The sequence below is a fragment of the Homo sapiens genome, chromosome 16 (genome assembly GCF_000001405.40).
Source record: "Homo sapiens chromosome 16, GRCh38.p14 Primary Assembly".
Classification (NCBI taxonomy): domain Eukaryota; kingdom Metazoa; phylum Chordata; class Mammalia; order Primates; family Hominidae; genus Homo; species Homo sapiens.
This window is the reverse complement of record NC_000016.10, coordinates 81,520,192-81,540,809: the sequence shown is the minus strand read 5'-3', so window position 1 is coordinate 81,540,809 and position 20,618 is coordinate 81,520,192. Positions and strand designations below refer to the sequence as shown.

Genomic DNA, 20,618 nt, shown 5'->3' with positions numbered 1-20,618 from the left:
ACTCGGGAGGCTGAGGCAGGAGCATCGCTTGAACCTGGGAGGCGGAGGCTGCAGTAAGCCGAGATCGCGCCACTGCACTCCAGCTTGGGCAACAGACCGAGACTCTGTCTCATAACAAAAACAAACACACACACACACACACACACACACACACACACACACACACTCAAAACAAGACACATTTAACTGGCTTCAAAGAAGAGGCCAGGCCAGGTGCAGTGGCTCACGCCTGTAATCCCAACACTTTGGGAGGCCGAGGCAGGAGAGGATCACTTGAGCCCAGGAGTTCAAGCCCTGCCTGGGCAATGGCAAAAACCCATCTCTACAAAAAATACAAAAATTAGCTGGGCGAGGTGGTTTGTGCCTGTAGTCTCAGCTACTCGGGAGGCTGAGGCAGGAGAATCACTTGAGCCTGGGAGGTCAAGGCTGCAGTGAGCCGTGATTGTGCCCGTGTACTCCAGCCTGGGCAACAAAGTGAGACTCAGCCAGGGTGAGCAAGCCCATCTCACGGATCAGAGGCGGCACAGGATGGAGCTCTCCAACAGGCAAGACTAAGGAAAGCCGGGGACTCATCAAATCAGTGTGCTCTGACGAGACACAAAAAGGCCAGCGATGCTGGTCACTAAGCTGCCCTGGTGAGCAAGTACTTTCGGCCCTTGCTTCGTCTTTCCGTTTGGATGGATGTGCTCCACGTCTGACAAATTCACAATGAAGTGACACTAAAAACGACCTTTCAAGGTGGCTGAGATTACTGTGCAAATTAGAGAACTACTTTCGGCTTCGTTCACTGCCATCGTTTGTTTCTGTCACTCATTCACCAATAACATGGTGGTCCCTGCTACATCCAGGCCCAGTGCTCAGGGCTGGGGGCAGAGTTGTACACACGGAGCACGTAGAGAGACATAAAGCAACCAATGGACAGTTGGTTATTATTTCATGTAAATTGTGCTATGAATCACATGCTATGAACTGTGCATTCATAAAGAGAATGACTGTCCTGTGGTGGGGGAATGGTCATGGAAGGTCCAGTGGAGGTGGCACTGAAGATGAGGCGGAGGGAATTAGGAATGAGTGAGTGAAGGCAGGAGGGAAGCTTAGTCTTGCTCTTAGCAGGAACTGCGGGCCTCAGGTGGTAGGGAGGAGGCTCCAGCTGAGAAAAGGAAACAGGACGCAGGGTAGGAGCAGTTAAGGAGCTCCGAGGTGCAGTAAGAGTGGGAGAGGCAGGGCCAGACAGAAACATACCTAGCCCTGTAGTCCTGATCAGAACAAGGAGTGTTTCCTAAAAGCAACAGCGAAGCATGAAGGATTCTTGAGCAGAGATGTGGAGTGCCCTTCTCTCACTCCCAGCAGAAAACAATGATTGAGCAGATCTGTGCTTCAAACGGCCCTTGTGTGCATCCATCCCCGCAGGGCCTGCAGACATTGGTTTCAAGACCCCCTGAACAGCCAGACATTGTGCAGCTGCCCTGGCCCATCATCCTCCACCCCCAAGGACGCCTGGTTAGAACCTTCTCACCATTCCGCTCAAACCTTCAGACTGCCGGGCTGATGGAAACATTCCCAAAATGTTTTTCTGTGCAATTGAGATGCCGGCCTGGAAAATCCCTGCTGCAAGCATTTCTTTCTCACAGGAGGCTACACCCAACTGTTTCGCTGCAAGATTCTGCGTCACAAAAGGGATATCCCCAGCTAATATGACATTCAAGCGAATGGAGAATCTGAGCTGCCTGAATTCAGGGTAATCGGCCCATCGGTGTGTGCTCTTCCTCGGCACTATCTAATCGAATTTTCTGTGTGCATGAATATAAATACTGTTGTCTGACCCACAGTGAACTTGTAAATAGCCTGATTATATCAACCTTAGTAGATCAGGTTTCCACAAACAGATGGACACCGTTCATTTTATTTTAATTTAAAATGAACACAATTTCCACTGGATACAGATAAAATTAATGACCTTAGAATCAACTTGCCTGTGAAAAAAAAACCTGATAATCATATTATTGCCCGAGAAGATCATAACAAAGTCTTGGTTTGGAATATCACGTGCTATTTTGAACTTAATGCCTTTTTCTATTTCCTTGGAATGAGAATATCCTGACACATTCTTCAGGGTGGACTCAACATCAGTGTGACTTGGCTTAAATGGCAGAGGATAGATCACCACCCCAAAATTACTGAAACCAAGAGATCCACAGGATCAAGACCAGACCAAGAAAATCTTATAAAATGGTAATCAAATCAACTTCCTATCAAAACCAGGCTCTTCTTAAATTGCAGATATCAACTTACTCAGCTCGCGAAGTAAGAACATGGAGACACAGGCTGGCCCCAAACAAATCCCCTGAGAAAATAAAAAGCTAACCCACAGCACATTCACTAATGATGATGAAGCTGTTTTGGACCACATTTCAACTTTGTTCCAACAACCCCTTAGAGTGAAATTCGGCAGCCTTCTCTCAGTGTTTATGCAACTGGGCCACTGCAGGCAGGAGCCACCGCCGGGGGCCGCCTATGTCTTAAGTGTCTCTACTTTATGAGTTTCCATGGGCAGGCAGCCCATGCTTATGGGTGTCGCTCTGAGAATGAGACGGACTCAGGCCTTAGCCCCTCTTGACTCCCTACCACTTCCCTAATCTGGAGCAAGTCATTTTACTTGCCTGAGCCTCAGTTCCCCCATCTAAGAATGGGTACAATGATAGCAGCTACCTCACAGGGTTACAGGGGGATGCAACGAGACTGTGGTGTGTGTGTAATGGACCAGGCACAATGTCTTCTGCAGGGCAAGCCCCTGGTGAGTGGAAACGATGATTGTTATTGTTCTGTCCGGAATGCCGGGTCTCTTCCCACCCGCCTCGGCCTGACGGCCAAGACTCTGCACCCAGGGCTCTCTCCACCCTCTGTGAGTTCCCCGACACCTTCAGCTGACCCTTGCCCTGCACCCCACGCATGCAGCCCCCACCACCCCAATCTCTTGCTGCCACTTCATACCACAGGGTGTTTCCCTGCTCAAAGCGGGAGGCTCCTGAAATCCTCATGGCTAATCCTCCACTGAACTTTCACCAAACTCCCATTTGGGGCATTTCTTTTCTTTTCTTTTCTTTCAACAGAGATGGGCGTCTCACTATATGGACCAGGCTGGTCTCGAACTCCTGGCCTTAAGCGATCCTCCCATCTCAGCTTCTCAAAGTGCTGGGGTTACAGGAGTGAGCCACCGTGCCCAGCCTCTATTTGGGTCTTTTTTTTTTTTTTTTTTTTTTTTTGTCTTTTTTTTGGAGACGGAGTCTCTCTCTGTCACCCAAGCTGGAGTACGGTGGTGCAATCTTGGCTCAGAGCGACCTCTGCCTCCCAGGTTCAAGCAATTCTCCTGTCTCAGCCTCCCAAGTGGCTGCAACTACAGGTGCGTGCCACCATGCCTGGCTAATTTTTGTATTTTTAGTAGAGACAGGGTTTTACCATGTTGGCCAGCCTGGTCTTGAACTCCTGGCCTCAAGTGATCCGCCCACCTCGGCCTCCCAAAGTGCCGGCATTACAGGTGTGAGCCACCGCCCCCAGCCTATATGGGGCGTTTCTATCCAACTTTATTTCTCAGGATGCCCCGACACTCCAGGCCAAGGCAGGCTCACACGTGAACATTGTGACGGCCAGGACGGTGAGCAGGGGGGACCCTGCTCTGAGTCTGTAGCCCAGTTCTGCCATGACTGGTCCTGAAGTTTCCAGCAACTTACTCTTAAAGTCACACTAATATGTCATGGGAAAAATGCCAGACAAAATCATACATGCCAAACAACTGCACAGATGTGGAGTTCACAAGCGGGCAAAACCATTAGACACTGATACAAGCCAGGAGAGCAGTTACCCCTGGGGAGAGCAACGGCTGGCGGGAGGTGCAGGGCAGGGGGTGGGGTACTGCTCAGTATGTTGTCTCTTGATTTGGGCGCTGGTTACACGTGCGTGCTGAGTTGGCAAAAATTCACTGAGCTGTACGTGTGCATGCTTCCGGATGTATGTGACGCACGTATGTTTCTATAACAACATTTTACTGGAAAAAAAAAAGACAAGCAGTGCCTCAGTTTCCTCATCTGAAAAATGAGAGGTATTAACACCTACCACAAAGGCTGGTGCTGTTGTCCCTCGGCCTCCTGCTCTAAATAAGTTCTACCCACTTCATCAAAGGTCATGAACCAGGTGTCCACCTGAGGTAGCCAACCCTAATTCTGCATTTATAGAAAGAAGGTTCCGGAGACGGGTTGTGCTACAATGTGAATATACTTAACACTATTGATCTGCACACTTAAAAATGGTTAGGACAGGGCATTATGTTCTGTGTATCTTATCACCATTTTTTTAAAAAGATGAACTATAAGAGAATATTCTTATCCTGACGATCAATTTATAATGCCCCCGAGTTAATGACAGGTGAGAGAGGTACCGAATAGCAAGCACACAGGCCACACTGGGTCCATCCAGGGCACACCCTCCCTGCATGGCGCAAGGTAAGATGAAGACTTCCAATTGCCACAGCAAGGCAAGGAGCACTCCCAAGTACCTTTGGTCATCCTCACAACAAGTTCCAGGTCACCCTCAGCAAGCTGGAAGCCTTCACACCAAACAAGCCTCTCCTCGTGAAATTTTAATAATTAACACTTACCTGATTTCAAAGGTTTTACAGGGAAATTAATCTTCATACTGGCTGGTTATGGCTGCTCTGCAAAGCCAGGGGTCGGGGGATGCTTCGGGTCCCTGCTTATGAGTTTACACTGCAAACAGGGATCACATCAGCCCACAGCACACAGCAGACAAGAGGTCCCTTGTCACCGAGGTTCCCTGGGCCCTCAGGTGACACGACTCTCTCTGGGAGGAGATCCAAGATGCTCTCGCCTTGAAGTCAGCGTGGACAATTTTCTCAAAAACCTGGAACATGTAAACTGACCTGGAGTCCTAGGAGCTTGTGGGAATGCTCAAGTGCAAAACTTTCTATCACTGTAACAGCTTGTCAGCCAGTTCAGAGTCTGGGGTGACCTCGGTAATTTATGGTGGGAGGGGAAGGTGGGTAACAGGGTCCAACATCTGTAAACGAGTGTCTGAACACTCAAGGGCAACTGATCACCAAACTGACTGATGCTTCAAATGAGGACGTACCTTACAAAAAGTCAACATCAATGGAAATAATAATAATTGTATTATTACTAATAGATTAAGGGCTTTTTCTATGCCAGGCACAGTACTACAAAATTCACGTGTCTGATCTCATTCTTGCTAGTAGCTTCATGCAGCTTTTTCTGACTAGCTCCACTTAGAGAAAGAACGTACAACAGCTGTTTAAAAAAAAAAAAAAAAAAAGCATTCCAGTGCTATACCATGAGCAGAAGTGACAGGAAAGAAGCACAGGGAAGCATCATGAGACACAGCCCACGAGAAGGTTAAATACACTGGAATTTTATGCATGTGAGATTCTCAGACAGCATTTGGCTGTGTGACCTTGGGCAGGTTGCTTGACCTCTCTGGTGCCTCAGTTCCTTCATCTTTAAAAGGAGAGGGCTCAATTTTAAAAAAATTATGGGCCACGTGGTGGCTCACACCTGTAATGCCAGCACTTTGGGAGGTTGAGGCAGGCAGATCACTAGGTCAGGAGATCGAGACCATCCTGGCTAACACAGTGAAACCCCGTCTCTACTAAAAGTACAAAAAATTAGCTGGGCATGGTGGCAGGTGCCTGGAGTCCCAGCTACTCAGGAGGCTGAGGCAGGAGAATGGCATGAACCCGGGAGGCAGAGCTTAGAGTGAGCCGAGATCACGCCTCTGCACTCCAGCCTGGGAGACAGAGCAAGACTCCGTCTCAAAAAACAAACAAACAAAACACTATGAAGCTGGAATAAAACAGCACAGTGGCAGAGCAAGGACAGTATATCAGTGGTAACTAACAGAAAGCCTAAAAGGAAACTTAGCACATATTTGAAAAATTTAGTATCTGATAATAGCAATATTTTAAAGCAATGGGAAAAGGGCACACTATTGAGTGAATGATAACAGACAATCCATTAACTATTTGGAGGGAAGGAATAGCATTATTCCCTGCCTCACACCTTATACCAAAAATTTATCCTGGGTGTAGGTGCTTAGTTCTAGGTTAATTTTACAGTTCTATAGTTTTGTTTTTTTTTTTATGGGGAATGTTTGCTCAATCTTAAAATTTGGAAGAACTCTCTAAGCCACGAAGACACTAATTAAGAAGTCACTAATTAAGACACTCAACTCTGACCACAGAAAAATATATAACTTCTATATATCAATAAATACCTCAAACAAAATCAAGAGACTAGAAAAACAAAAAAAGTTGGAGAGTAATAACTGCTACATAAATGATTTGAAAAAGGATGAACAGTTTTCTATATTTCAAAAGAAACCCTTACAATCTTTTTTTAAAGACACATGCCATAATTGAAAATAAAACACACAAAGAATATAAACAACTTGCGGAGCAAATGCAAACAGTCAACAAACCCATAAAATGAGGGCAGTGAATGAGGTTTAATGGAACAAATCCTGACTGAGGGCCACTGGGCAACATTCACAATTTTAAAGAGCTCAGAGTCCACTGCTATTGGGTATGTGTGGCCTTGCTGTGTGGTCAAAAGGGTGCATTCCTGAAAGTCCTGGCTTTGAAACGCAGCCTGGCCACAGGCTGCCCGGGTGCAGGAACCAGTGTGGCCCAGCTCCAGCGTGGAGATGCTCTGACCCACAGGCAGCCGTGGTAGCCGTGAGCAGTAGCTCTCACGGGGCCCTCTCCTGCCCTGCCTGGAACCAGATGGTGGAGAGAAGAAAATGCTCATCTCTGCGCCCTTCCTTCCCATCTGCGGTCACCTCAGCTGCCCAGAAGATGCTCAAGGTGATGGAGATGGAAGGAAAGGGCAGGAGAGGTTCACTGCCTCCTTCTGACTAGTGTTCCCTGCGGCCCTGCATGGACTCCACCCCGGTCATGCTCTCAGATCTGCTAGTGCAGCCCTCTGATTGTAAAAATAAAGCACATAGGCCAGGCGCGGTGGCTCATGCCTGTAATCCCAGCACTTAGGGAGGCAGAGGCAGGTGGACTGCCTGAGCTCAGGAGTTTGTGACCAGCCTGGGCAACACGGTGAAACCCTGTCTCTACTAAAATACAAAAAATTAGCTGGGCATGGCGGCACGTGCATATAGTCCCAGCTACTCTGGAGGCTGAGACAGGAGAACTGCTTGAACCCGGGAGACGGAGGCTGCAGTGAGCCAAGATCACACCACTGAATGCCAGCCTGGGTGACAAAAAGAGACTCCGTCTCAAAAAAATAAAAATAAAAATAAAAACAATAAAGCACATAATGACAATAATATAAAAAATCATGCACATAACCTTAGCTACCATGTACTGAGTGGCTACCATGTACTTAACAGGCAAACTTTATTCCAATGGACAAAGTGAGTGCTGCAAAGTTTGACTGACTGATGATTCATTCATTCGTTCACTCACTCAAAACTATGTACTGAGCATCTAGCAGGTGCCAGGCCCTGTTCTAAATGCTGGGGATACAGTCATGGGGAAAAAACAGGCAAACCCCTGCCTTTCTAGTGGGATGGAATAATAAACAAAATAAGTAAGAAACGCGTGGTCTGTCAGATGATAACATATGCTCAGGAGAAAAAAACGTAAGTCAGGGAACGAGAAATAAAAAATTGTGGGAGTGGGTGCCAACTTTTTGGATGGATGGAATGATCAAGGACAGCCCAAGGAGGTGACTTCTGACAGGAGACAGGAGGGAAGCGAGGGAGCGTGTGGTGTGGGTGTTTAGACAACAGGCATCCCAGGCAGAGGAAGCAGTCAGGGCAAAGGCCTCGAGGCACAGCAGGCTTGGCGTGTCCAAGGAGGCAGCCCAGATCACACCATCAGTAAGGGAGGGAGGCTTTCACTTGCCATGCTGTCTGGGCAGAGAGGCGCAGGAGGCAACACGGTGTGTCCAAGGTCACACAGTTAATCATTGAGAGATCAGCCAAGCATGGCACACTGGAGTCAGGGCACAGAGCTGCATCCCAGGGAGTCACACCCCTCCACATCCCAACACTCTGATGTCACACCTCCACCTTCCTTGGAGGCTCCTGGAGGAAAGGCCCAGGTGACAGCTCTTCCCTGGCACCAGGTGGGTCTCCTGGCTTCGCCTCCCGCTGCCTCGGGACCTGGGAAAGGTTCTCCCGACTCAGCTGCTGGGCAAGCCGAGGCCTCCTGTGGTGGCGAGACTGAGCGAGGGCAACAGCGCTAGTCCCTGGGGAGGCTCAGGGCGACCCCCGGGATTCTAAAGGTACTTAGAGACTGCGAATAAGTTCAGGGATTTATCTGTTGGGCTCAATGTATTGGCCTGGCAGGAAAGGTCATTCAGGAAATTTTTCAAAATTAGTGATAGTCAATCTTCTAAAAGACAATTATATCTGTGCGTATACCTCCTGCATCAGCGTGTGGAACATACACGCACACGCAGGTGCACACACACTTCTACCTAACACACGTCCGAATGTGAACACCACTTGTTCAACTTCGACATCTAATGATGAGGTGATCCGTGGCCAGCGTGAAGATACGCAGAAAGCATGGACTCCTGAGCCCTGGGACTGCAGTCTGAAAGCAGCGGAAACACTTCGGACCTGGGCACCTTGCGCACCTCGCTTCTTTAGCTGTCCTTGGCCTCGATTTCCTTATCTGTAGAGTGGAGCTCACCAGATTGCTAGGAGAACTACAGAATAAAGCGCCCGACTTAGTGCCTGACATCCAGAAGAAGCGCCATGAAATGGAAGCTATCAAATCGCAGGACAGTTTTAGAAGTATGTGCAGTGCAATCATTTCATTTAGAAGACAAACCAAACCCATGTAAGCAAATTTATGAGCCATTTCTAAATACAAATAGCAATGGAGGTGAGATAATCAACAACTAGCCCCAACTAGTAATTTGCAACAGAAATGAATGTTTCTTAGTCAATCATCTTCTGTTTCCCCCTTCCTGGTGGTGACATGGTTTGAATCAGCCAGTCTGGGAAAAGCCATGACACACGGGTTGACCTCTTGAAAGCAGTTAACTTGGAAGGAAAAGGAATGATTCTTAAACCCAGTGAACCCAGTTCTCCAAGCAAAGGTCGGGCGGCAGGCCCAGGCTTGCCCCTCGAGGTGTGGCCCGAGCCTCCTCAAGCCATGTGAGCACGTCACAGAGATGCCTCAAGTGTCCCAACTTCCTACTTGGTCAGCACTAACCATGCGGGTAGAGACGGCCTGGTGTGAAAAACAAAACACGGGTAGGGTCGTAGAATCGAGACTGGACTGAGGGCATTGATGTCCCAAGGGCCTCCTGAACAACAGACCATAAACCAGGTGGCCTGCATATCAGCAATGTGCTTTCTTAAAGTTCTGGAGGCTGAGAGTCCTAAGTCAAGATGTCAACAGGGTTGATTTCCTCCGGAGGCTCTGAGGCAGGATCTGCTCCACACCTCTCTCAGCTTCTGGGGCTTCTGGGGCTGCCAAAATCCTTGGCATTCCTTGGCTAGCAGCTGAATCTGTCTCTGCTGTCACACGGTGCTCGTCCCTGTGTGTCTCTCTGTGTCTAAGTTTCCCTCATCTTTTACGGACACAGTCACTGGATTTGGGCCCACTCTCCTCCAGCATGACCTCCCGCATGACCTCCAGCATGATCTTAACTTGGTCGCATCTGCAAAGTCCCTATTTCCAAAGAAGGTCATGCTCACAGGTACAGAGACTACAGCGTAAACGTGCCTTTTGAAGGCTACAGTTCAACCCATAACAATGACGATCCCAGAAGACATCAGAACAAGCTCAGGCTAGCTGGTGGCTACGTTCGACAGTTCAGCAGGAGAAGGGCGGGTGGGCTGAGTACTCAGGGCTCGCTTTTCCAATTATTCTCCCTGGGACGGTAGAGAAATTTCTTTTTTATGCAGAAGAAGCTGAACTGATCGAAGATAATGTATGTAAAAGAGGGTACGTGCCTAGCACACAAATGCCACTTAGTGATGCCACCTTGGATGGATCTGGAGGAGGCTCGAAGCTCTGACACTCGGTGACATTTCCACTACCCGGTGACACAGAAGCCTCGGAGGTAGCAGCCACGCGGGCACCCAGCTAAGGGAGAGATGTGGGAGGCGGGCGGGAGAGGCTCTGCTCTGCCTTGGGAAGCGGTGAGGAAAGCTGAATAAAGGCGCAGGCTTTTGTGAGCAGAGGCAAGAGACTCGAGTGAACTGCCAGGAAAGTCAGCTGCCAGGGGTGCCAGGTGAGTCACTGACTCAGACGGGCTACACCGATCCCACAAAAGACACGTCCTCCCACCAAGAGAAATCTGTTTGACTTTAGAAAAGTACAGGTTACAGTGATACTCACTACACACCCCACCTTGCAGCGCAACAGAGGCGAGACGGGAGGAACAGGAACTGCACCTAGGTCCCTGAGGGATCCGGATCCACCTTTACTGGGATTTTATTTCCCCCAAAAGCAGGACTCTACTCAAATCACATTCGCCTGGGGTAATAAAGTATCAGAATCCTCTAGTAAGAAGGCTGGAGCCTCATAAGACGTGGGACCCTGGTAGGAATGGATCAGATTCTGTGACTTTCCTTGATCCTGAATGAGTCTGATTTTCCCCCTGGGCTTAATTTTAACAACGAATGATCTATAGAGATAAATTTATAGCGGCCTGACTGAAAGATGGACTCTTTGAGAAGGTTTTCACGCAGTGATGATGGTCTTACTGTCCCCAGCCAAAAACCCTATCCTCTCACTGTTAATGCGGACCCTCGTACAAAGGTTTTCAGATGTCCCTGCACCTGCCCATGTATAAGGTTCCTATGGCTGCTCAAATGGCCACACACGCAATGGCTTCTTCTCTTACAGTTCTTGAGGTCAGAGCCCAACACGGCCTCACAAGGCTAAAATCAAGGTGTGGGCAGGGCTGGCTCCTTCTGGAGCCTCCAGAGGAGAAGGAGTATCCTTGCCCGTTCTCCAAGGCTGCCTGCATTCCTTGGCTGGTGGCTCCTTCCTCCATCTTAAAGCCGGGAATTGCAAGGCTGCTCTCTGCCTCCGCACATCTCCTCCTCAGACTCAGACTCTCCCACCTCCCTCTGTCCCTGGTAGGGACCCCTGTGATGACACTGGCCCCCCTGGATAATCCAGGGTAACCTCCCCATCCCAAGCTCCTCAACCCAGTCTCCTCTGCGGAATCCTCTTCATCCTGCAGGCAGCATATTCCATTTCTGGGGAGTAGGACATGGGCATCTTTGAGGGCCCATGAGTCTGTCCACCACACAGATCTCACTGCCCCACAGTTTCACAGCCCATCTCCTCGAAGACCAACAAGCCCCAACCAAACTGCTGACAGATCCAGAGCCATCTATGTCACCCAGCCCCTCACACTCTGCCCACCCACACTCGGTGACTCGGGGCTCACTGAGTGTCCCAAGCATGGCTACCCTCTGTATCATGTACCATCTGAGAAACCATGTGCCCCCAATCTCTCTCTTTACCCTCCCTCACGGGCCCATCCCAAGATATTCTCAAGATGCAGCAATAGCATTGTGACCTCCAGAAAGCTTTTCTTCATCCTCCCAACCTGCCCTAGAGACCTCTCTCTTCTTCCCCCCTTATATCCGTGTCATGCTGCATTATGAATAACTATTTAATCATTTGTCACAGTATGGGGGAATACTTCAAAGGCAAGGACCACAGCTCATTCATCTGTATCTAGCCAAGGCCTGATTTACAATGGGTAAAGCCATCAGTAAGTGATGGATGAAGGGATAAAGGGATGGGCGGATAGATGGAGGGATGGGTGGGTGGATGGACGGGTGGGTGCATGGACTGGTAGGCAAACAAACTGAAGGAGAGGAGAAAGGAAGGGAGGGAGCATGGGTGAGTGCCTAACAAAAAAATCGCGCTCACCAAATATTTGTTGAGTGAAAGCAAGGAGATAGATGATGATGGCAGTAAAGCAGGGCGAGCAGGCATGAATTAGGACCATGCTCTATGACCTTAATTCTATGTTTCTTTCATGCCATTGAAATAACTCAGCTGAGCAGTTAACAACATGAGGAAGAAGCTCAAGACTTGGGCATCATTTGTGCTAAGTCAGAGAGGGAAGCCCCAGCAAGCAGGTAGCTGTGACCTCAAACCAATGACCAGGAGGATTCTAGGAATAGTTACCAGAATTAGCCAAAACTCAATGAACTATTTTAATTTCCCAGGCTGACTCAAAAGTACATCTCTCTGGGACCAGCAAAAAGTGTAAGAACTTCTACCAGGCCAGGAACCAGCTCCACGCTCCACCTCTGGTCATATCAATTCAATGCATGAGCACAGCTTCAAGGTACTCCCAACCTCACTCCGGGCCCCTGTCTCTGGCTACACCCAGCTTTTAAAAATGTATCCAGCATTCAGCATGAGACCAATGGTGGACTGGGGAGCCACAGGGTCATAGGAGGAAGGGCCAGCCTTGGCATTGTTTAGAATGAAAAAAAAAAGTCTTCACTCCAAGACCAGACAAGCGCCAATTTCAACCATCTCCTTAAAAATACTATTTTTCTATGAAGTTGTCATGAATGTGAAGGATATTTTTCTCCAACATTTTATTATGAAAAATTTCAGACTTAAAGAAAAGTTGAATACTGTTATATACCCACCAAAATGGCTAAAATTTAAAAGACTGACAATAACAAGTTGGCATAGATATGAAGCAACCAGAAATCACCCATACTGCTCCTGGGAATGTAAACTGGTACAACCACTTTGGAAAACAGGTTGGTTTTCTCTACAAAAGGTGAACCTATGCAATACCAGCGAATGGCAACTCATGCCTAACTATAAGCCAACAGAATTTCATGCACACATTCCCAAAAAGGCATACGCAAGAGACTTCCTAGCAGTATTATTCATAAAAGCCTAAGAAGGCAACAACGTGAATGCCCACCGTCAGTAGAATGGGATATTTTTAGGATAAAATGTGATCCAGCAACAAAAATAAATAACCTTCAGCTCTAAACAGAATGTAGATGAAGCTCACAAACACATGTGGAGCCAAAGAGGCCAGACATAAAAGAACACGCATTGATTTGCTTTCTGTAAAGTTGAAGCTTCTAAAAAAACTAAATAAACACAGACACTGTGGTCAGGAGAGTTATCGCGGGGGAGGAGGATGAAGGGTGGTCTCTGGGAAAAGTCTGAGGATGCTTCCATGGTAGAAACAAAATCCAACTGATAGCCTGGTGGTAGGTCCATGAGATGGGATAATTCATGGAGCTGTTCATTTGGTTGTGTACTTTTGAAAGTAAGTAATACTTCAATAAAAAGAAAGAAGAAGAAAAGAATGGATGAATACCCTTACACCCACCACCTAGATTCTACAATGAACATGTCCCTGTTGGTGTTTTTTTCTGGTATCTAGCTATTCCTTTACCCGTCCATCAGGCATTATCATTATTACTGACGATAAATGATATTTCTGGCATGCAGGCTGTGAACCCAAAGGCTCTTACACACTCAGCCAACCTCCCCCACCGTGGGCTCCCGGCCAAGCCAGGGTGTGTCTGCAAACCTCACTCTCCACCATCGTCTTGTTACCCAGCACCCCCTTTCCTGACACACTTTGAGCCAACGAGCTGGAGAGCTGAGAAATTCTGTAGCAGACAAAAACCAAGAAAACACATTCCTTTCAGGTCCAGGCCTGCCTGGCCCGCGCGTGTTGTCTGAACTGCACCATCACCCTGTTTGCAACTTCTTCAGAAACCAGGCCCCAAACTGCAAAGCTCACGCCCTGTGTGCTCACTCCTGGGAATCCAAACAAACTCAAAACATGTCCAAAGCCATCCAAGGAACTGAGAGAAGATTCCTGCTCATTATAAAGCAAAATTTCTCTTCTTATATTGGAGTGGGTAGAGAGAGGCTCAGGGCCCTTCCAAAGGAAGTTGGGTTGCCTTCCACAGAGCTGCCCAGAAACCAAACGCAAACCTGCTCCTCTGGCGGGCTGGGGCCTTCACTGTGACCCCTCCCGGGGGCACCTCTGCAAGGCAAGAGTGGGCTTCCTAAGCTTTTTTGTGCCTTGGACCCCTTGGTAGTCTGGTGAAGCCTCTGGGCCCCTTCTTAGAGTAATCTTCTTAAAAGTATAAAATAAATAGGAAACTGCAAAGGAAAGGAAGCTGATCATAATGAAAAACAGCTATCAAAATATCCCTTAAAATTTCCAATGGAGTAACAGATCCCCTCTTTATTAATCCATCGTATAACAAGACCTAGCTGTGGGCCTGATAACTACTGTAACTTTGGGGTACTGATGAATGTAATGATATTCCAAGATATCCACAACAACAGGAATGAAATATGCAAACACCCGCGATTTCTATTGATGACTAAGTCACAGGCACTGCTAACACCACTGTGATTGGTACTGCCTACAGCCGTCATGGAAACAAATGCTAAATTTCAGTTACAGGTTGGTGACCATAAAGATGTCTTTTTTAAAATGCCACATCCAAGTTCACAGATCACTTGAATTCTATCCAAGGACCCAAGGTTGAGAATTCCTGGAAGTCAGGAGCTTTCTTTTGTCCCTTTTGTTTTACTCCTGACGAGAAAATGCTCTCTGCACCTAGGTATAGACCCAAACAAACTGAAAGCAGGGATGCAAAAAGATACTTATATACCAATGTTCACAGCAGCACTATTCTCAAAGCCAAAACGCAGAAGCAACTGAAATGCAAACGGACAAACTGAATGGACGAACACACACACACACACAGACACACACACACACACACACACACACACACGTATTATTAGTCAACCTTTAAACAAAAAAAAGGATTCTGATACATGCTACAATATGGGTGAACCTTGAGAGCATTACGCTAAGTAAAATAAGCCAGTCACAAAAAGACAAATCTTCTGATTCCACTCATACGAGGTTCCTAGAGGAGTCAAATGCATACACACAGAAAGCAGAAAAGTGATTGCCAGGGGTCGGGAGTAGGCAGAATGTGGAGCTATCATTTAATGAGGACGGAGTTTCAGTTTGAGAAGATGACAGTGTTCTGGAGATGGATGATGGTGGATGGTCGCATGACAATATGAATGTACTCAACGAACTTTAACATTTAAAAATGATTGGCTAGGCCAGTGGCACACATCTGTACTCCCAGCTACTTGAGAGGCTGACGGAGGAGAACCATTTGAGCCCAGGAGTTCCTGGGCAACATAGCCATACTCTGTCTCTTAAAAAAAATGTTTTTTAAGATTTAAAATGGTAAACCTTACGTTATATGTATTTGACCATAATAAAAAAAAAATTAAGGAAATAAAAATAGGGGCCAGAGGCAGTGGCTCATGCTTGTAATCCCAGCACTTTGGGAGGCCGAGATGCACGGATCACCTGAGGTCAGGAGTTTAAGACCAGCCTGGCCAACATGGTGAAACCCTGTCTCTACTGAAACACAAAAATTAGCCAGGCATAATGGCGGGTGCCTGTAACCCCAGCTACTTGGGAGGCTGAGACATGAGAATCGCTTCAACCTGGGAGATGGTGGTTGTGGGGAGCCGAGATTGTGCCACTGCACTCCAGCCTGGGTGGCTGAGCAAGACTCCATCTCAAGAAAAAATAAACAAATAAAATAAAAATAAAAAATAAATGAATAATTTAAAGAAATAAAAATAGGGGCCAGGCATGGTGGCTCATGCCTGTAATCCCAGTACTTTGGGAGGCCGAGGTGGGCGGATCACTTGAGGTTAGGAGTTTGAGAACAGCCTGTCCAACATGGTGTAACCCCATCTCTACTAAAAATACAATTATCAGCCAGGCATGATGTCATGTGCCTGTAGTCCTAGCTACTAAGAGGAGGCTGAGGCAGGAGGATCACTTGAACCTGGGAGGTGGAGGTTGCAGTGAGCCAAGATAGCAACACTGCACTCCAGCCTGGGCAGAGGAATGAGACTCCATCTCAAAAAAAAAAAAAAGAAAGAAAAGAAATAAAAATGCTCCCTGCAGAACATGGGAAGGCGCAGTTACTGTCAAGAATAGGAACAGCCTCACTTGTGACTGACAGCTGAGTCGCTGGGTGGCTCTGAGCAGGGCCTGTGCCGCCAAACCCACTAATGAGCTGTGCCACCGTGGGCAAGTTACTTCACCTCTCTGACCTCAATTTCGGCATCTGCAAAATGAGGGCCGTGATGGCTGCAGCTGCCATACCTTGGGCAATGATGACGTGCCTGGCTTGGCGATAAGCATTTTGCAGACACTGTCTCACCAAGACTTCCAGATAACCCCACGAGCTTAGTAGGTTGTGGCTAACACGTTACAGATGACTTAGTTAACTCACCCAAGGTCACCTGTCTAGGACATAGCAGAGCCAGACTGGCTGAAGAACTCAGACTTATAATTCTCTCTGTATCTCTCTGTCACTTGTAGACAGTCTCTGCCCCTCTAAGCTCCAGTGGGACAGACACCATCTCTGTTTCATGTGCCATGTTACCCCCAGAGCCCACTACAGAGGAGGTGCTCAATAAACACTTGCTGAGCAATTGAGAGAATCCAGCTCTGTCTGACCCCAATACTGGCTTCCTTTATAAGCAATGGATCGTGGCATTACAGGGTCCTGTCTTTCAGGTCTCCTAATAGATGCTGTGACAAGCCTAGCACCTCACAGGTCAGAGGGTTCCGCATGGAACCCGTGAAAGAGGCAGAGGCCAAGGGAGCCAGTTTAAGAGACAGAAAAATAAGCCTACTCCAAGGAGCACAGAAACACTGTCCACCCATGGGCACACATACACACGTACAGGCACACCTGGCAAAAACACCTACAACTCAGGAGCCAGGAGCTGCAAAGTTCTGCCGGTGTGCAGGCGCTGGCTTTTAGTTCAAGACGCCTTGACGTTTGGAGGGAGCCAAGGGATGAGCTGGGTGTTACATCCAGGCTCCTAGCTAAAGGAAGCTGTGTCTGAGCGAGGTTCAGGGTTACCTGGTGGTGACTCAGCTCACCTTCTTCCTGGGGGAGGAGGGAGGCTCCACCAGGGGCTACGAGGTGGTTGGAGAACAGGCACGGTGCTCTCCAGACAAAAGATGCTGTCCTCTTGGTTCTTTTCCAGACTTCGTTCTAGGCCACCATGGCTTTTCGCGGGAAGGGGGTTTGGCTGGGATCTAAATGAGGCAACCACGGTTGGGCTGAGTGACTCGAGAATTTGGATTTGTCAGACTGGATGAGTCAGTTGCTTGGCCGGGGCCCAGGTAAGCTTGAGGTATCGTGAGGGAAGCCCTGCTTCTGGAGTCCAACCAAAATGTGCTGGGAGGGTACCAGACCCACCTTGCGGCCGTGTGACTGTGGGCCCCACGTCCTTCTGTGTGACAGGGGGTGAGTCTGTCCCCCATTCAGGCCTCGCACTCAGATGGAACAAGATGGCAAACAGGGAGTGACTCCACAGTAATCAAAAGAAATGAACTAGATATTCAGGAATCAACGGAGAGATCTCCAACACATGAGCATCGTCGGATAGGGTGGAAAAAGGCAAGCTGCAAGGGAACTTTAAAAACATACACAAAGCAAAGCGCGGTAGCTCACACCTGGAATCCCAGCACTTTGGGAGGCCAAGGCAGGAGGATCACTTGAGCCCAGGAATTCGAGGCCAGTCTGGGCAACATAGCGAAGTCCTGTCTCTACCAAAAAATTAGCCAGATGTGGTGATGCGTGCCTGTAGTCCCAGCTACTTGGGGGGCTGAGGTGGGAGGATCACTTGAGCCTCAGAGGTCAAAGCTGCGGTGAGCTGTGATCAAACCACTGCACTCCGGCCTGGGTGACAGAATGAGACACTGTCTCAAAAAAAGAAAAAAAAACCATATACAAAGAAATGTTATATATTGTTTATGATTATGTGTGTGTGTGTGTAAAAATATTTTAAATGTGAAGATGCACAAGGGACTTACAATAAGGGGGTACCTGGAGGTGGGTAGTAAATTAGAGGTGAATGTCAAGTAATTATACCTTTTCCAGTAATGTTTTATTTCTTTCACTTAAAAAAAAGGCAAAGCAAAGAGGACAACATACTAACAATGCTCTAGTCGGGGCGGTAGAAATGCGATTTTATGATACTAATCTTTGTGGCTTTTGCTTCCTGTTTGCTTGTTTATTTGTTAACCAACCTGGAAGGCATCTTGACATCAGTAGGTGGTGAAGCCACATGTCCTACTGATTGGGTATGCTAAATTGTGTGTTTATTCTTTTTACTTTTCAAAATTCAAAAAGAAGAAAAGTCTATCACAGTATGCAGTGCTCACTAAATGGCACCCTTCTAACAAAAATCCAGGCCCAGGCACCCCATGGCTATGCCAGAAGACACCCCTCTGGCCTCTGGCTACTTCAAGTGAGAAGGAGAACTCTACTGGGCACTGCATAGACCCTCAGGGAGCTCTGGGTGTGCTTCAGTGGATGGAGCAGCACTGAAGCTGTGTCCCTCCTGTGTCAATCCAGGTGTGGCCACCTGGCTTAGGGCTCTGATGACAGGGCCCAACCCACCAATCACACTCCAGGAAACCCAGTGACATCATCGATCGCCAATGGGAGCTCCTGATCATCGTGGGCGAATCGGTGTTGCCACACTGGGTTGATAGGATTCCAGCTAGAAGCAAAGATGTCTGACATTTCCCTTGTCTTAGGCAGTGGCAGCCTTATCAAGTGTGAATGGACAAGCAGAAACCTCATCCGTCTGCACTTGGCTCCTAAATATCAGATTTACTCTTAAATTGTAACAGCACCTCTGAAATCCTGCTTATACGCTTTTCTTCTCGCCTTCCTGGATAAAAAGGAAACAATATTCTGTACCCTGCATTTCACTGTATCAGACACTGGCCTTTCTTGGAGAAATTCTATCTGTAAGATATAGGATACCAAAAAGACAAGGGAACACTCAGGATACCTTTCTCCTTTCCCTAATCTCGGCCAACTCCCAATTGTAGAAAAGTATCTTATGTTTGAAAACCCAACTGACCCCCTAAACTGGCCATTTTGAAATCTACAAGGTATCATAGGAGCTTCAAAAGCCAATTGGTTTCTCCTGTTAGCTCATCATCCCACATCTGTCTACAAATACACAAGACTTAGAAGGAAAAGAAAATTCACTCCAGGGAGGGGCTTTTTGAAGAAGCTCCGCACAGACTCGACCTGCTAGGTTCAGAGTGTGAATATAAGCACCCTCCCCTCAGGTGACGCACCCTTAGAGACACTCAGCCCCCTCCTCTTCTGGAAGCAGAAATGCTATTGTTGCAACCCAGTCCTTCCAAGAACCTGCAGTGGCATTTCAGGGAGGCAGCCGACCTTGGCGGTCACCGGTGGTTCTACAGAGCAGAACGACAGCGGGGGCAGCTCGTGTTTGCTATTCGGGGGGGGGTGGCAAATGCGAAGCCACCAGATAACTAAAACCTCTGCTGTCTTCCTGCCACTGCCGACCATCACCATAGGAACCACATCCTGCTGCTACCATGGCAACCGTGCAGTACCATCCGCTCAGCAAGCAATGATGCAGAGGCCACTCAGGAAGGCTTGCCGAAAGGCCTCGGGGCTGAAAGGGTCCCATGGTCCACAGTCACGGCGACCGGGCAGTGACAAAGAAAAGCCTTCCAGAACAATCCATTTTTTGGTATAAAAGCCCTCCTCCTGTTCCTCAAGAATTTATCCCAAAATTAAATCTTGTATAAAGCACATTCCTGTTCCCAGGCTGCAAAAAGCTCCAGGGCAAAATGCATCAGTGAAGAGCCCAGGGGGCGGGGGGTCCTTTTTCTGACACATGCCACCGCTAATTTAAAGAGGATGCGAAACCCAGGGAGCTCCCCACAATTTAGCCACACACTCACGACAGCAGCTCCTACGGGAGACCCAGGCACCAGGATTAGGCCCTCCCAGAAGCAGCCTCTGACTTCCTCCTCACAACCCTTCTTATAAACCTAATTCCTCACTTCCTACACCCATTTTACACAGGAATGAGGCTCAGAGAAGTTAAGTTATTTGCCCAAGGTCACACAGCACAATGGGCAGACTGTCTGACTCTCCAGTCATGAGAAATTCTGATCAACTTAATTATATCCAATGCCAAGTTCCAATAATCAGGCCCTACTTATTAATCACAGCTCATCTTGATTTTCTTTCTTTTTCTTTCTTTCTATCTTCTCTCTCTCTCTCTCTCTCTCTCTCTCTCTCTCCCCCTTCCTCCCTCCCTCCCTCTCTCTCTCTCTGAGAGATGGGGTCTCACTATCTTGCCCAAGCTGGTCTTGAACTCCTGGGCTCAAATGATCCTCCTACCTTGGCTTCCCAAAGTGCTGGGATTAAAGGTATGAGCCACTGCACCCGCCAATTTTTAATAAGCATTATTTTAAGTAAGCAAACACTCTCTACAGCATAGAAATTGCTTATTTGTTCTAGGCATTGTTCAAGAAGTGGGATCCTGTTTGTGGCTCCCAGAGTCTCTGAGGTAGAAACCACTAGAGATGAAGAAATCGAGGCAGACAGATGAAGTAACTTGGCTGAGTGCACCAGCAGGCAAGAGGCAGACCTGGGGTTCAAACCCAGCCAGCAGGACT

The 20,618-nt window shown here is 47.9% G+C and overlaps 1 protein-coding gene and 1 non-coding gene across 6 annotated transcripts in view, besides 2 other annotated features; both read right to left on the bottom strand.

Annotated features, from left to right (window-relative positions):
* The window catches only part of CMIP (c-Maf inducing protein), a 266,955-nt gene that overhangs the window by 170,953 nt on the left and 75,384 nt on the right, over positions 1-20,618 (bottom strand). The gene's annotated exons all lie outside the window — the stretch shown is intronic.
* MIR7854 (microRNA 7854) lies at positions 6,844-6,908 on the bottom strand. The gene has a single exon (NR_107008.1). It is a non-coding gene; the product is annotated as a microRNA 7854 (primary transcript).
* Positions 7,529-8,028: an enhancer, noted in NCBI's record as "H3K4me1 hESC enhancer chr16:81566387-81566886 (GRCh37/hg19 assembly coordinates)". NCBI's record gives its function as "activates a minimal SCP1, AML or CMV promoter by ChIP-STARR-seq in primed H9 embryonic stem cells {active_cell/tissue: H9 hESC(primed)}" and the evidence as "EXISTENCE:reporter gene assay evidence [ECO:0000049][PMID:30033119]".
* Positions 8,029-8,530: an enhancer, noted in NCBI's record as "H3K4me1 hESC enhancer chr16:81565885-81566386 (GRCh37/hg19 assembly coordinates)". NCBI's record gives its function as "activates a minimal SCP1, AML or CMV promoter by ChIP-STARR-seq in primed H9 embryonic stem cells {active_cell/tissue: H9 hESC(primed)}" and the evidence as "EXISTENCE:reporter gene assay evidence [ECO:0000049][PMID:30033119]".